Source organism: Homo sapiens, chromosome 8 (genome assembly GCF_000001405.40).
Source record: "Homo sapiens chromosome 8, GRCh38.p14 Primary Assembly".
In the NCBI taxonomy this organism is placed as follows: Eukaryota; Metazoa; Chordata; class Mammalia; order Primates; family Hominidae; genus Homo; species Homo sapiens.
Genome location: NC_000008.11, coordinates 119,660,187 through 119,677,060, shown reverse-complemented (window position 1 = coordinate 119,677,060; position 16,874 = coordinate 119,660,187). Strand labels below are relative to the sequence as shown.

The 16,874-nt window shown below is 41.7% G+C and overlaps 1 protein-coding gene and 1 long non-coding RNA gene across 6 annotated transcripts in view, besides 2 other annotated features; one reads left to right on the top strand and one right to left on the bottom strand.

The window, feature by feature from the left end:
- LOC105375727 (uncharacterized) lies at positions 1,718-5,113 on the bottom strand. Its single transcript, XR_928589.3, has 3 exons — positions 4,758-5,113; positions 2,410-2,473; positions 1,718-1,747 (listed from the first exon to the last, which is right to left on the bottom strand). It is a non-coding gene; the product is annotated as an uncharacterized LOC105375727 (long non-coding RNA).
- Positions 3,250-3,852: an enhancer, noted in NCBI's record as "H3K27ac-H3K4me1 hESC enhancer chr8:120685449-120686051 (GRCh37/hg19 assembly coordinates)". NCBI's record gives its function as "activates a minimal SCP1, AML or CMV promoter by ChIP-STARR-seq in primed H9 embryonic stem cells {active_cell/tissue: H9 hESC(primed)}" and the evidence as "EXISTENCE:reporter gene assay evidence [ECO:0000049][PMID:30033119]".
- Positions 3,671-16,874, top strand: part of ENPP2 (ectonucleotide pyrophosphatase/phosphodiesterase 2) — a 116,305-nt gene continuing 103,101 nt past the window's right edge. For all 5 annotated transcript variants that reach the window (XM_024447182.2, XM_017013573.2, XM_017013574.2 and 2 more), the window contains exon 1: positions 3,671-3,809. In XM_024447182.2, coding sequence (XP_024302950.1) covers positions 3,789-3,809 — 21 coding nt within the window. In that variant the 5' untranslated portion in view covers positions 3,671-3,788. The remainder of the gene's footprint in view (positions 3,810-16,874) is intronic.
- Positions 3,853-4,456: an enhancer, noted in NCBI's record as "H3K27ac-H3K4me1 hESC enhancer chr8:120684845-120685448 (GRCh37/hg19 assembly coordinates)". NCBI's record gives its function as "activates a minimal SCP1, AML or CMV promoter by ChIP-STARR-seq in primed H9 embryonic stem cells {active_cell/tissue: H9 hESC(primed)}" and the evidence as "EXISTENCE:reporter gene assay evidence [ECO:0000049][PMID:30033119]".

The following is a 16,874-nucleotide window of genomic DNA, read 5'->3' as shown; positions in this document are numbered from 1 at the left end:
ACCTGTCACTTATGAGTGAGAACATGCAGTGTTTGGTTTTCTGTTCCTGTGTTAGTTTGCTGAGAATGATGGTTTCCAGCTTCATCCATGTCCCTGCAAAGGACATGAACTTATTATTTTTATGACTGCATAGTATTCCATGGTATATATGTGCTATATTTTCTTTATCCAGTTTATCATTGATGGACATTTGGATTGGTTCCAAGTCTTTGCTATTGTGAATAGTGCTGCAATAAACATGCGTGTGCATGTGTCTTTATAGTAGAATGATTTATAATCCTTTGGGTATATACCCAGTAATGGGATGGCTGGGTCAAATGGTATTTCTAGCTCTGGATCCTTGAGGAATCACCACACTGTCTTCCACAGTAGTTGAACTAATTTACACTCCCACCAACAGTGTAAAAGCGTTCTTATTTCTCCACATCCTCGCCAGCATCTGTTGTTTCCTGACTTTTTAATGATCACCATTCTAACTGGCATGAGATGGTATCTCACTGTGGTTTTGATTTTTGTTTCTCTAATAACCAGTGATGATGAGTTTTTTTCATATGTTTGCTGGCTGCATAAATGTCTTTTTTTTGAGAAGTGTCTGTTCATATCCTAGGAAGAACTCTTTGAGCAGGTGACATTAAGCCAGCACCTAAAGTATGAGTAGAAACTGGCCTTGGAAGATCTATGGAAGAATGTTCCTGGCAGTGGGCACATGCTGGGTGCACGTGCTGTTGTTGTTGTTACTGTTGCAAGGAACTGGCACATATTCAGACTCCATGAGGAAACATGGTGTGTGGGAGGGACTTTAATGTGTTTATAGGCTGTAATGTTTTATTTATCCGTGTATGTGAAGAATCAAAGACGCTTGATTATAGTTGCTTTATAAATGCCTATGGAATAAATGAACTGATGTTATCAGTAGAGAAGAAGTTGAAAGGAAAGGCGATGGTTGATGAGTTTTCCATAGGAAGTGGGAAGAGAGGGAATCTACAGTGCACAGAAAAAGAGGTACCTCTGAGGTAGGAAGGGAGAAGTGGAGAATAGATATATTTTTCTGGTGCAGGGACAGGAAATAGAATTTCCTTCTGATAGCTACTGTGTTCTTTATTGGGGGAAAAGAGTTTGTTTGCTGAAAGCAAGCCAGGTGGGAGTGGGATCAGGGTTCTAAAGAGGTGGGAAGTGTTACTTTGCATAATTAGAGAAGTGAGCTGGCTGGGGACATTTGTAAGAACTGAGGTGGTGCTGAGTGCCCAGCCAGGGGTAGGCCAGACATCAATGGTGGTGCCAATGGCCATGATTTTGGAATGATGTTTACCTCTAGCAGATAGCTACATCTTCGGTGGAGAATTTGCAGATGGGTATGGCAATGGTAGGACAAAGAAATGAACAAATTGAAGTGGAAGGAGAGACAGATCTAAATTGATATTAAAGACTAGTCGGAGACATAGAGGAAGTATTGTCAAGAAGGAGCTGAGGTCAGACGCAGTGGCTCACACCTGTAATCCCAGCTCTTTGGGAGGCCAGGGCAGGTGGATCACTTCAGGTCAGGAGTTCGAGACCAGCCTGGCAAATATAGTGAAACTCCACCTCTACTAAAAATAGAAAAATTACCCAGTTGTAGTAGTGGGCTCCTGTAAACTCAGCTACATGGGAGGCTGAGACAGGAGAATCGCTTGAATTCAGGAGATGGAGGTTGCAGTGAGCAGAGATTGTGCCACTGCACTTCAGCCTGGGCGGTAGAGCAAGACTCCGTCTGAAAACAAACAAACAAAAGAAAACCCTGAATATAAGAAGAGGAAGGAACAAGGGATAAACTTCTAATGAGTCCAAAGCCAGATGTATGATGAGAATGAGGGAGTGAGAGGACTGGGAGAAAGAGAGTGCCTTGTTATTCCATGGTAAGCACTGCACATATTAAAGTACTTTAAAATATAATAGCTATCTTTTACTGAGTATAACTCCATGCCTGCAGAAAGGCTAAGGGTTTTATCTACAGAATTTCATTTAATCCTCATAGTATATATTACAACTCCAGTTTTACTGATGAGAAAACTGAGGCTTGGTGAGGTTAAATGTATTGCTCACATTTTCGCAGCTAGGAAGAAGAAATTGCCTCTGTCTGATGAAGCAAATGCCCCTAACTACCGAGCTAGGTGATGTTGATCTATATCTTTTTGTTGTTGTTGGAGAACAATGCATGACTCCTGTATCCTCCTCTTGTGAGTTGATGCCCCAGAGCCAGTTATATTAACACATTCAGCGCTGCAAGATGAAGTCCACATCCCCTAGAGTGACACAGGAGGCTGGTCAGAGTCCATCCCGCACCCCCTTCTCTAGATTCACCCTCCCACACCGTCTGCTCCTGCTTGCCCCGACTATTTTCAAGTTCACTGAACACACCACAGCAGTTTGTACCTGGTGCTGTCTGGGTCGGTGATGTCCTTCCCCCTCTTCTTCTCCTGGCTGGCTCCTCCAAGTCCTTCAAAATTGAGAGTGAGTGTCACCCCCTTTCCACTTTTCTGAGCTGAAAACAGTGAAAGTACTATTGCTTTTCACACTGGGCAGGTCTAGGTCTAGGGCTTCTCTGCAGACCTCCACCATAACTCTCTGCCATCCCTCAACTCCGCCTCCGTCACATTAAAATTCTGTGATGCTGACTGCTTGTCCATTGTTCATTTCACAAGCTCACAGCCCCTTCCCTTTTGTTTAGTATTTCACTGTCTGGAAGGACCCAGAAATAAGATAGAAAGAGGTGCTGATAGTAGTTAGTGATAGACTTTGCTAGCAGCCCGGGGAACACCTGGCTTGTACCTCTAAGTGGCTAGTCTGGTTACCACAGCATCCTTTTAGCAGTAGACTATTTTTTTTTTAATGTAGCCAGTAAATTCAAGATATCTGTGAATATCAAGGAACAAAACATCTATTATCTAATAAAACAATTTCTGACACTCACTTTTGTAATTCAAAAATTAAAATAACTGTAGCTACTATTGCTTTATATTAATTGTGTTCTCGTTAGTAGTGTGGGTCACTCAGCAGGGTGGTGGGTGGTTTCGTGGATGTGGACTGGATGCCAATTAAGAAGACCTGGATTTCACTTTCTGGTTGGGTGATGGGGCAAATATTTTTCTGAGCTTCTAATTCTTTATGTGTAAAATGGCAGTAGTAGGAGAGCCTCCTCGGCATTGTTTGGGAGGCCAAATGACAGCATGATCGTGAAAAGCCCTTTGTAAACTGTAGCGTGTTTTAGAAAAAAAAATGGTGGTGATATTTTCCAGAGCGTCAGAGGAACTTAAACAGCATAGGCCTGCCCCTGTTTGACCTGGAAATGCTAGTTCAGGGAATGCATTAACAACACAGCAGGAAACTTGTGCTGCGAACTCCTTTTGGAAACAGACTGAATCCTACAGAATGAAAGAGAAACAGCAAACCAAACCTCACAGAGGTTCTCCTTGAAAGATGAAAAATTAACTAGGCACTGTCGGGGGTGGGAATGTGGATGGCGGCGCTGGACGCCCCGTCTTCAGCCTCCCGACACTTTCCTTCCCCAAAGCCATTTTAGTCAAAGGTCATGTGTGTGTCTTGTCAAAGGCCAGCTTCCAATGGAATCATTGTCCCCCGGGACAGCGGCCCCCTGACTACATCTGCACTGGAGAAATCCCAAAAGCAAACGGCCAGTGCAAACAAGAGCAGTCCGCAGCAGCCGTCCCGAGCACAGCTCCCAGGTCGCGGGGCTGCAGCCCAGGCCGCGTCCGCAGCGCCCGGGCAGGAACAGACGCCGAGACTCCCGCAGCATGACCCGCCACGCCGATCGGGTACGGTATGCGCCTCTCTCTACCCGTCCTCCATTGCTTGGGCTCCCAGGTCACAGCTGCCATTCTGTCAAGCAGAAAAACCTTGCAAAGGGCCTCCAGGTTTGCCGGAAAGCAGTCCCTGTTGGGCTGTGTTCCCGTGCACTCAGCTGGAGCAATTTGCAGGCGCGCAAATGCGGAGCTCAACTCATTTCAAGTTTTCATTGCCAGAGAATGAGTTTGTAAATATCGAGTTTGTCTCTGGTTTCTGGAAAGCGAGCCCGTCCAACTTGCAGGACTCTCGGTTCACCACGGCTCGACTGCAAGCGGGCGACCCTCAGCCTTACCAGCCGCAGGGCACTGCAAGCTCTGCCCTCCTGGGCGGCGAGACGGGCCCGGCTTCTTGTTTATTACCTGTGGGACAGGGGCTTGGCAAGAAGGACGGGGATTTTTAAAACAATATGTTTAGTAAAGTCCTCTGAACTCCCACACTTGCCTCCAGGAGACAGAATCATCTCCCTGAAGGAGGGAGCCCCTTCCCCACAACGCGCCGATCGCAGGCTCCACAAAGATGTTGATTGACGTGCACAATTCGGCACAGCCAGTTTCTTGGTCCTTTGTCCTTTTCTATTTGAACAAGCCTTTCAAACGGATAGGGCTAATTTTGGATAAGACTAGAGGGAGCCCTGGGTCTTAACTGATTATGGGTGCTTTAGATCTGGACTTGGAAATCTCCAAGGGCGAACACTGGGGAGCGTCCGCAGGGGCAGTGGGCACAGCCGGTCTTCAGGTGCGGAGAGGGGGTCAAAGGGTTCCAGCGATTGCTGGGCTTCCACACTCTGGTTTCATTTTAACAAGTGAAGCAAGAGCCGCTTCTCACTGATAGAGGGAATGGAAACAAAAGCCGCTCTAGTGCCCAGCAGGATGGAGAGGGAACCCGATTCTGGTATTGCTTATGTATTTATCACATACCCAGTTCCACGGAGCACAGGTTTTCTGCACTTCTGCTCATCAGGTATTTAATGGAGCTTCCGGTTTCCCCCGCAGTGGTCACCTCTGGCTGCCACCTCAGTTTTCTGCTCCTCTTCCCACCAAATTCCTTGAAAGAGTGGGTGGCATTTGCTGTCTCCCGACATCTCCTCACTACCGGTTTGCTCCTTCACACCCAGTCACCTGGCGTCCGCCCTCACCTCTGAGGGCCAACCTTTGGCAAGGCCGCCGAAGACCTCCTTGTAGCAAAACCATAGAGCATTTTCAACTCCCCCCCTCCCACGCACACACACAGCCTCTGTGTCATTTTGAACTATTGGTCCTTTCCTTTCTCTTTTTGACTCTGTCCTGGATCCTGCAATCCCATGCTTCCCGGGCTTCCTTCTGACCTTTGAGTTACAATTTAATACTTAAAGGGCTTCACTTCATAAGTGTTTGTGTGCACTGCTCTTTCTTCTTGACTCTCTTCCCTTGTCATCCTGCAGTCTCTCTGGATAATCTCATTCACTCCAGCGGCTTTAACCACTACATATACATGGTGTCTCCCAAACGTAGCCTAATCTTTCTCCTAAAATTCCAGTCTCTACTTTGATGTTCCATAGAGCACCTTAAAATCACCGAGTTAGGACCTGGATCTGTCTTCTCCCTTCTTCTCCCAGGCCTGCTCTTCCTCTTTTCTTTGCCACTGCTTAAATGGCATTTCTCAAGTTGTCCAAGTCAGACACAACAGAATCACCCTAGGTGACTTCTTCCCTTTCATTCATGACAATCATCACCAAACCCTGTCTGATCTCATTGCTGAGTATAATTCATACACATACCTGTGTCTCCACCTCCCCCACCACTGTTATACTTATGGCCAGTATTCCCTCAAATTCCATTCTGGCCACAACTTCCCATTAGTCTCATCTGGGGCCAGTCCTGCCCAGCCCATACCTCCACTTTGTTTCTGCACTGTGTCAAATGATCTTTCTTTCTTTTTTTTGAGATGTAGTCTTGCTCTGTTGCCCAGACTGGAGTGCAGTGGCGCAATCTCAGCTCACTGCAACTTCCACCTCCCGGGTTCAAGCAATTCTCCTGCCTCAGCCTCCCAAGTAGCTGGGATTACGGGTGCCTGCCACCATGCCAGGCTAATTTTTTTTTTTTTTTTTTTGTATTTTTAGTAGAGGAGGGGTTTCACCATGTTAGCCAGGCTGGTTTTGAACTCTTGACCTCAAGTGATCTGCCTGCCTCGGCCTCCCAAAATGCTAGGATTACAGGCGTGAGCCACTGTGCCCAGACTGTGTCAAATGATCTTTCTAAAATATAATATGATCATGCAGTTCATTTTGGAAAAGTCTTCAGCAGATTCCCATTTTTATTTTCTTTCAAGAATAATTTTGGTGGATACACATTGTCCACAACTTGCCTTTTACCTTCCTCTTCATTGTTATATCTTACTACTCACTCCCTCTCCACATTTTATGTACCATTTTTGTACATTTTATATACATTTTGTCCATATCATATATGAATTTAGGCGTGTTAAACTATTTATTAAATAAGACTTTCTTTCTGTACATCTGTGAGGTCTGTGTCTAACCTCTGTTTTTATTTAGACCCAGCTGAAAGCCCCTTTCTCTTGGAAACGATGCAGATCATCCTTCCTAATGGGTTAGGTGGCCCTCTCTTGTTCCCCCAGAGCTTCCTTTATTTCTGTGGGTCAGAGCACTTACCATTCTTTATTACAAATATCTATTTACTTGTCCATCCCACACCAGTCCTTAGGGATCAACTCTTTTTGTCTTAGTATGATTACAGTTAGTGCTTAGACCCAGGTGGGATGCTCAATGAATTTTTGTGCAATTTTTGTGAATGACCATTTATGTTTAAGCATTGAATTAGATGACAGAGATACAGAAGCTTTCAGGAAATTATCATCTATAATATGCTAAGGAATAAAGGTTAAGCATGATTATCAGGGAAAACATAGTTTTCTACTTATTTAGCAATGGAAGGCTTTAGACTTTCTGGATATTTGAGAATAATGCCTCGAGTCTGTGGGTCTATCAGCTCCCTCTCTAATTCACATCTCAACAGGTGGGCTTCTCCTATTGCTACTGCACCTATCCTAACCTTCCCCAAGAAAGAGCTGCAAGAAAGGCCTTTTGCAGTTTTGGCTCTGTTGACTTTGTGAAGGCAAAGGAATCCTCTTTAGCCTGGAACCTGGCATGGGACAAGGACACTAAAGGCCTAGATAGGTGGGCTTGTAAGAGTCCTTGGATAAGCTTGATCCAGAGAAGGCATCCAGAACCTCAGAATGGGCCAGTGGGCAAGCAAGCCCTCTAAAAACTCTGTAGAAAGTGATGGAGAATTTGGGATGCTAGAGATAAGAAAATGCAGTTTTGATTTCCTAAAAAGAGATGTGTGCAATCTAAACCTTCAGACAGAAAGGTGAATGATGATTAACTTTGATAGGGAGTTATTTAAACTTGAAGTTGTTCTCAAGCTCTTTGAGACCAAGGTCCTTCTCAGGTATAGATACACACTACTCTTCTCAGAAAAAAATGCAGGATACACCACATATTGCACTTTGTATGAACTTTCAGTGGGTTCATGACAAGTCAACTCTGAGACTCCTTTGAGTTGTAATGAACCTCCAGTTAGGAATCTCTAATCAAAGGAATTAATTAATTCCACAGACATTTGGGAGAGTGAAGTAGGTGGCGAATAGTGGAGCCAGCATAAGTCAAATTAGGCATGCTTTCTTTTTTGAGATGATCCCAATATCATGTGTGCTGATGACCATGAACTTGGAGTCACAGGACCTGGGCTCACATCCCTGCTCTGGCAATTGCTACTTGTGTAATTTTCTAAGAGATGATTTTATTATCTATTAAAAAACAGTAATAGGTGCTGGAGGATTTAACTAAAATAAAGTATGTGAATGCACCTGAAACATGGTTATACTCAATAAACTTTAATCAGTTCACAACATTGATTTCAGGAAGGCACAGATTTCTGTGATCTTCTTCTAGATTAGAAAAGTGCATATGGGCTGGATTAATGACTGGTTGAATGCATTTATTAAAGGAGAGCTGATTAACAGATGGATTGACATGTGAATGTCTTTAGTGGCATGCTACTGGCCTCTGTCTTCATTCCTGTTTATTCAGCATCATTGATATCTATAAAGGCATAATATAAGGCTCCCATTTGCTAAGAGAAAAGGCATAAGGATTAGGAGTCCAAAAGTTATCAATAAGTTATAATCTGTTTTGACTTTTAATTTTTGGGGTGTATGTGTGCAGAGATGGATATAAAAAGTCTTATGCATGGATCCCAAAATTAAATTGCAAATTACTAGGTATGTGTGTATGTGTATGACAGAGGCAGATGGGAAGTAGAGGGAGAGGGAAAGCGGATTGAGAAAGGAAGAGACAGAGAGAGGAAGAGACAGAAAGTTAGAGAGAAGTGGCAGCTTTATATAGTTAAGGTTTAGAGATTTAAACGGATGATAAAATCAATAGTGATATGTTTCTTTTAAAATAGAATTTTGTTGTAGTAAAAGAAGTCTAGAGGCTGGGTGCAGTGGCTCATGCCTGTAATCCCAGCACTTTGGGAGGCCGAGGCGGGTGGATCACAAGGTCAAGAGATGGAGACCATCCTGGCCAACATGGTGAAACCCTGTCTCTCCTAAAAATAGAAAAATTAGCTGGGCATGGTGGCAAGTGCCTGTAGTCCCAGGTACTCGGGAGGCTGAGGAAGGAGAATTGCTTGAACCGGGAGGTGGAGGTTGCAGTGAGCTGAGATTGCACCACTGCACTCCAGCCTGGGCAACAGAGTGAGACTCTGTCTCAAAAAAAAAAAAAAAAAAGAAAAAGAAAAAGAAAAAGAAAAAGAAAAAAAAAGTATAGAACATGAGACATGATAGTCATCGTACTCTGTATTGTTCAGACCATATTTAGAACAATTGTATCTAGTTCTGGGTGCTACACATTAATTTATTAGCAACTGTATTGGCTATTATTATTTGAGCACCTAATATGTGGCAACCACTCTGCTAGATGTTGGAGACAACAGTGCTGAAGAAGACCTGATCTCACGGTATTTACAAAGGAGCAGAGGTGTTAGGTGAGGAACCAGGTGATTTTAATTCAATATTATACTTGCTTTGATAGGGGAAGCTTAGGTCCTCGTGAAACCACCTGAGAAGGGATATTTAATCTAGACTTAATGGGACCAGGGTAAACATTCTTTAGGAAGTGATGTCTAAATTGAGACCCAAAGGCTGAGTAAAGATGAGGAAGGTGAAGGTGATGGAGGGAAGAGAGCTTCAAGCAGAGGTGTCAGTACCTTCAGTGAGCTGTGCAAGGGACTAAAGAAGGAATGCAAGAGAGGGGATGAGAGAAATGAGACTGGAGTGGTGGCTGAGGCCAGAATGGCATGACACTGTCCTACTTGAAGCTGTAATTGATCTTTACGAAAATGGGGAGCCAATGAAGCTTGTAAGCAGGGCAGTGTCATAATCGGTTTGGGGTCTTGGAAAGATCAATCTGGCTGCAGTATGAACAATGAGTTGGAAGGATGGCTGGTAAGACAGAGACCACTTAGGAGGCACTGTGTCATATAAGCAAGAAAAGATGGTGGCCCTAAACCAAAGGGTAGCAGGGAAGATGACAAGAGTGGATTAATTCAAAAGTGAATTAGGAGTTATAAGAGTATGGTGACAGACTGCAGGAATGCTCTAGGAAAGATGGGTACGGATATTTAACCTGCAAAAGAGAAGATTTAGAAGGTCACAATGTCTGTCTTTCCCTCTAATGTGGAGGGAGATAATCATTGTGTTTGTCTTTGAGAGGGCAGGATGAATGAATGAAAGAGCCAAATGAATAAGAGACACAAGGAGATACATTTCAGCTCAATACAATAAAGAATTTTCTAACAGGCATCCCAAGGCAATGAGTTCTTTGTCACAGAGAAATTTAAGCAAAGGCTTGATAGCAATTCTTGGAAAAGTTGGAGAGGCAGGAATATGGTTAGCCAGGCTGGAAGGCATTGACATTTCTTTTCAACCCTAGGATTTCAAGATTCTGTGTATAAAGTTCACATATCTGAGCTTGGTATTTAAGGCATCCTGGGATCCAGTCCTTTGTTGGGTGGCCATATGTCCTGGTTTCCTGGTATGGTCCTAGCTGTTTCCTGCAGCTATTAACAGCAGCCTTTTTCATGCTTGAAGGGGTCTTAGTTTGAACAATAAATTTTATGACCATCCAGCCCTACGACTTGATTTTCCTACCTCGACCCCTGACATTCTTTTAGAACTCCCATGAACTACTCATACTAAACTATTTGTTGCTCTCAGAGTAGACCAGGCATTTTACTACAAGTTGGTTTACTTATGCCATTTCCTGTGTCAGGAATACCCTTCCTCTCCATTGTCTGTGTACCTCCTGGAAAATATACCTTTTCATTAAGTCCTAATCTAAATCAAATGCTAAGTCCTTCATTAAGCTTTTTTTTTTTTTTAGACAGTTTTGCTCTTTTTGCCCAGGCTGGAATGTAATGGCCTGATCTCGGCTCACCACAACCTCCGCCTCCTGGGTTCAAGTGATGCTCCTGCCTCAGCCTCCCAAGTAGCTGGGATTACAGGCATGTGCCACCACGCCTGGCTAATTTTGTATTTTTAGTAGAGATGGGTTTTCTCCATGTTGGTCAGGCTGGTCTCGAACTCCTGACCTTGGGTGATCTGCCCGCCTCGGCCTCCCAAAGTGCTAGGATAACAGGTGTGAGCCATCACGCCCAGCCTTTTTTCTTTTTAAATTGTCTTTTTATAATGTGATAGGTTGCATTATATTACTGAATATATAATTATTTTTATACTTTTTTGAGCCCTTTCCCTAAATTATCATCTCCTAGGAGTAAGATACTAAGATCTTTGAAAAATACAGTAACCCATTGGAATGAATGGTGCTTTGTTTGAAGCAATAATCTTTCAGAGGCAAATTTTCGATTTTTAAAAAAGGTCATATTTTCATTATATGAGTGATGGATGCATTTTGTGGAAAAAAAATCAAAAAAGGAAAGTACAAAGAAGAAACAAAAATTATCTACAATCTCACTATTTAGAGATAAGTATATTAACTCATTAATGAATATCCCGTCTATATTCTTTTATGTGTATGTAGTCTTAAAATTGGAATTGTCCATAGCCTTGTGTAACCTGCTTGTCTTTAACAGCATACCACGAATATTGCCCCATGCCATTATATATTTTTCAAAAACATAATCTTCAATGGGTGTATTGTATTCTAGATGTAGCTGCCTCATGATTTGTTTGGCAAACTCCTGCTTGATATCAGGCTATTTCCACATTTTTGATGTTGCAAAAAGAGCTATAATGACCAACTCCCAAGACAAACATTTATGCATCCATTTGGTCTGGGACATTTATATTTTTCTAAGATGGCAAGGCAATTATTGATGGAAAGAAGGATATTGAGTCACTAAGAAAGCATGAGTTAAAAAAAGGCTAACTTTGCTTTTAAAATGTCATTTTTATTTTATGTTACATATATCAATTACATATGAGATTTTTACATATGTGTATATACTTATTAGTCCTATAAATTAATGAAGGTGCCTTGTCCAATTTGGAAATGTGTCAACAATCTGTAGGCTTAGTACAGAAGGGATTGATAACTGATAAGTAAACTTCTTGAACAAAAAATTGAGTTTGAAATCTAAAAACTTCAGTGCCTTTGTATCAATGTGAGACATAATTTCATTCATAAGCTAAATATAAGGGAAAATGACATGTTTGCCACAGAATAAAGGCATTTCTGTGAAAAGAGGGGCATTGCACTGCCTAGTGTTTTGGTGTTTGGAGAAGGTATGAGGCCACAGACTTGAAACCTTATTCCAAAGTAAATAATTTATCGTCTTAAAGACCCAACAAGCAGGAAGGTGTCCATTGTAGAGTGGAATATTTTTATCTGAGGAGAAGCAGGCTTTGGGATACACTGTGAACCCATTTGACCACTTTTTAATAGAATAAACGAAAGATGTTGTTATGGGTTGAATTGAATCCTCTCCCAATTCAAATGTTGAAATCATAATCCCCAGTTCCTTAGAAGGTGACCTTATTTAGAGACAGAGTCTTCAGAGAGGTATTCAAATTAAAGCAGGTCATGAGGATGGGTCCTAACCCAATATGACTGATGTCTGTATAAAAAGGAGAGATTTAAACACGGGAACATACACAGGGAATAGATGGCCATCTACCAAGCCATGGAGTGAAGCCTCAGAAGAAACCAATCCTGCTGCCCGACACCTTGATCTCAGACTTCTCATCTCCAGAATGTGAGATGATACATTTCATTGTCTTTTTTTGTTGTTATTGTTTTGTTTTTGTTTTGGCTCACTGCAACCTCCACCTCCTAGGTTTAAGCGATTCTCCTGCCTTAGCCTCCCAAGTAGCTGGGACTACAGGCGTGTTCCACCACACCCGGCTATTTTTTGTATTTTTAGTAGAGATGGGGTTTTACCATGTTGGCCAGGTTGGTCTTGAACTGTGACCTCAAGTGATCTGCCTACCTCTTTCTCCCAAAGTGCTGGGGTAACAGGTGTGAGCCACCGTGCCTAGCTGATACATTTCATTGTGTAAGCCACCCACTACTTTGTTATATGGAGTTAACTAACCCACATTTCTTGAAAGCATAATGTCCTTAGCATGGTTTCAGCTGGTAACACTCAGTACAACATTATTTCACTTTCTAGTCACCACAGAGTTTGCTCTTCGTCATGGAAATGATCGGGACAGACAGTGCTTTGCAGTTTCACGGCTTGCAAATCATTTTCATTTCCATTATCTCCTTGACCCTGACCAAAGCGTGTGAGATGGGAATTCTCATCCTTTCTGTTTTAGAGAGAGACAACAGAGGTTCAGAGAGGCTAAGTGAATTGTTCAAGGCTGCACAGCTTGGAAGTGGTAGCGCTGAAACTCAAACATGGATCTCCTGATGCGAAATACTGTGCTCTTTTAATTAAAACTTAATGTGTTCGTCTTCATGAACATGTCAAATATCATCTTCCTTCTCTGAAGTTTGAAAAGACATAGTTTGTAGCATGCTGAGCCACTTTTCCCCATTTTTATAACTTTCATAAGAATGATTTTATAAGCCCTCTTGTTGGACTATATGTGAAGCCTGAGGGCACCTACTCTGCCTCCGTCATCATTATCAAATATTTACCAGGAATCCTTGATTTATGCTCCTGTGTTTACTTGCAAAGAAAATTTCGTCTCCACTTAGGAGCTTTGTTTACTAACAAAATAGGCTTTCTCAGTACACAGTTTGACTACCCACAAATCCAACTGCAAAACTTTGGATATTTTGGATATATTCGAGTTTTTCCATCATTAATACTCTTCAGATATTAATTCAACATAGTGGCATGAGGGACGCCTACATTTTCCTGGAAGCTGCTTGACTTTAATCAGCAGGTACAAATGCAAGATTATCGTACTTTTCCCTTGGGTGACCTAAGCTTTTTCTTGGCACCCGTGAGTGCAGAGCACTTGGTTGTCTCAGAGTGTTTCAGTGGCTTCTACACAGGGGAGTTATTAGTTTTTAACCTTGGGGATAATTCCATAAGAATGCAATTCTTTTCCTCCCTGACAGAACAAAATATTGCTTGTGTTAGGTTATCCCTGTTATGCAATAAAACCAGTGGTTCCCAGATGGTGAAACTATAAGAGATCTATAGGTAGGGCTGTTAGATTTAGCAAAAAACAACAAAACAAAAGAGACAAAAACAATAAAATCCCAGGATGCCCCAGTTAAATTTCAGTTTCAGATAAACAATGTATACTTTTTTAGGATAAATGCATCCCTGATATTGAAAATACTAAAAAAGTATTGTACCTGGCAGCCCTATCTGTAAGATAATTTTGTGGGTGGAGTCTTAATAATTTTTCGATATTTTAAAAGTCTATGAAAATTATGCATTTACCTAAGTAAGACTTCAGAGGTTACTGACAATGTGTTAAATTTCCTCGAGTTTGGTTGGGATTTTGTTTTTTGACCTAACTTGAAAAAGCACTGCTCATCTCGTGGGAACCACGACAATTATACTACCCATTTTCTTTTCTTTTCTTTTTTCTTTCTTTCTTTTTTTTTTTTTTTTTGAGACAAGAGTCTCTCACTGTGTTGCCCAGGCTGGAGTGCAGCGGCGTGATTTTGGCTCGCTGGAACCTCCACCTCCCAGGTTCAAGTGATTCTCCTGCCTCAGCCTCCTGAGCAGCTGGGATTACAGGTGTGTGCCATCACACCTGGCCAATTTAAAAAAATATATTTTTGGTAGAGACGGGGTTTCACCATGTTGGCCAGGCTGATCTCGAACTCCTGACCTCAAGTGATCCTCCCGCCTTGGCCTCCCAAAGTCCTGGGATTAAGGCATGAGGCACTGCGCCTGGCCTATACTACCCGTTTTCAATGACTTAGATTCTAGGGGTCATGCAAAGCCCATGCATTATCTCTTGCAACGCTCAAAATCAGGGATTGGTTAACTATGGCCTGCAGGCCAGATATTGTCCTGCCTGTTTTTGTTGTTTTCTCCAGCACGTGTCAAAGTTTTGTTTCACACTTGCAAAGCAAAAGACAGTGAAAAGAAAAAGCTGGTTCACAGAAACAGTCTTAGGAAAGGGCCCTATTAGAAATAGAAATATGTAGATCTGTAAATCTCAAATTTCAGCTGCATCAGAATCACCCGGAGGGCTTGTTTGAACACCTGCTGCTGAGCCCCACCCCTAAAGTTTCTGATCCAGTAGGTCTGGTGTGGGCAGAGGATTTGCGTTTCGAACTAGTTCCCAGGTAGTGCTATTTTGACTGGTTTGGGTTCACACTTTGAGACCCATTGGTCTAGATTCTAAATAAAATTATTTATTTATATATCTATGCAATTTACTTTATTGTTTATTTATTTAATTGACAAATAAAACATTGTATGTATTTACGAGATACAACATGATGTTTTGATACATGTATACACTGTTGAATGTATACATATAAAACAAACTAACATTAGTTTATCACCTCACATCCTTATCATTGGTGATGAGAATATTTATAATCTGTTCCCTTAGCAATTTTCAAGTATATAATACATTATTATGCCCTAGTCACCATGCTGTATAATAGAGTTTGAGAACCTAGTCCTCCTGGAGGAATAAGATATCTTTTCTAACTAAAACTTTGTACCCTTTGACCATCAACTTCCCATTTCTCCCACCCCTAGGCTCTGTAACCACCATCCTATTCTCTGCTTGTATAAGTTTGATTTTTTTAGATTCCACATATAAATGCAATCATGTGGTATTTGTCTTTCTGTGCCTGGCTTATTTCATTAAGTATCATGACCTCCAGGTTCATCCAGATTGTCGCAAATGACAGGCTGTCATTCTTGTTTAAGGCTGCCTAGTATTCCATTGTGTATATATACCACATTTTCTTTATCAATTCATCTGTTGATGGACACTTAACTTGATTCCATATTTTGGCTATTGTGAATAATGCTGCAATAAACATAGGAGTGCAGATATCTCTTCAACGTGCTGATTTCATTTCCTTTGGACATACACCTGGTAGTGGGATTGCTAGATCATATGGCAGTTCTATTTTTGATTGTTTGTGAAGTCCCTACACCGTTTTCCTTAATGATTGCACTAATTTACAATTCCATGAAGAGTGCACAAGGGTTTCCTTTTCTCCACACCCTTGCCAACACTTGTTGTCTTTCTTTGTTGTTGTTTTTGATAGCAGATATTCTAACAGGTCCGAGGTGATATTTCATTGTGGTTTTGCTTTGCATTTCCCTGATGATTAGTGATGTTGAGCAGCTTTCCTGTACCTGTTGACCTTTTGTATATCTTCTTTTGAGAAATGTCTATTCAGGTTCTTCAACCATTATTTTTTATTTTACTTTAAGTTCTGGGATATCTGTGCTGAACGTGCAGGTTTGTTACATAGGTATACATGTGACCTGGTGGTTTGCTGCAACTATCAACCCGTTATCTAGGTTTTAAGCCCCACAAGCATGAGGTATTTGTCCTAATGCTCTCCCTCCCCTTACCCCTCAGCCCCCAACAGGCCCCAGTGTGTGATGTTCCCCTCCCTGTGTCCATGTATTCTCATTGTTCAACCCTCATTTAGGAGTGAGAACATGCGGTGTTTGGTTTTCTGTTCCTGTGTTAGTTTGCTGAGGATGATGGTTTCCAGCTTCATCTTTAAATCAGGTTGTTTTCTTGCTATTGTATATTTTGGATCTTAGGCCCTTATCAGATGTATGGCTTACAAATATTTTCTGTGAATATTTCCTTGGGTTGTCTTCTCACTCTGTTGAAGGTTTCCTTTGTTGTGCGGCTGCCTTCTGTTTGTGTAAATAAAATTTTAATGGAACATAGCTACCCAATTTGTTTCCATACAGTTCATGACCACTTTCGCACTACAACAGCAAGTTGAGTCATTGTGACAGAGATTGCTGGATGGCACACAAGACCTAAAATGCTTTTCTGGTCCTTTACAGAAACTTTGCCTACAACTGCTCAAAACTCTCATTGAAGCTGTACTGTTATTCTCATTTTTAGAATGAAACAAGTGGAAAACTGAAACTTGAGAAAGGTCTCACGGTTCTTAGAATTCAAACTAAGATCTGTTTGAATTCCAAAGCTTCTGCTCAGAAGCTGACCCAAGAGGGGCTGGTTGTTTGTTACCTTTGTCCTAAATTGATAAACAAAGGGGAAACTGATTTGTGACTTCTTGTTAAATACTGTCCTTTTCAAAGACAAGACAGATGGTATGGTGTAGTGGTAAAGTGCTCAGGCTCTGGGGCCACACTGCTTACATCCCAGCTCCCCCAATACATTCCTCTATATCTCAGCTTCTACCCCTATGAATTACAGATAATGATAGTACCTATTTGCATGATTGTTGCCAGGTTTAAATGAGATCATGTCTGAAAAGAAATTACAAGAGCACTTGACATGTGGTCCACAAGACATTTGTTATTTTAATTTCAAATAACTGTTTTTTCAAAGTAAGGACGTCTATGGAAATGAAAACA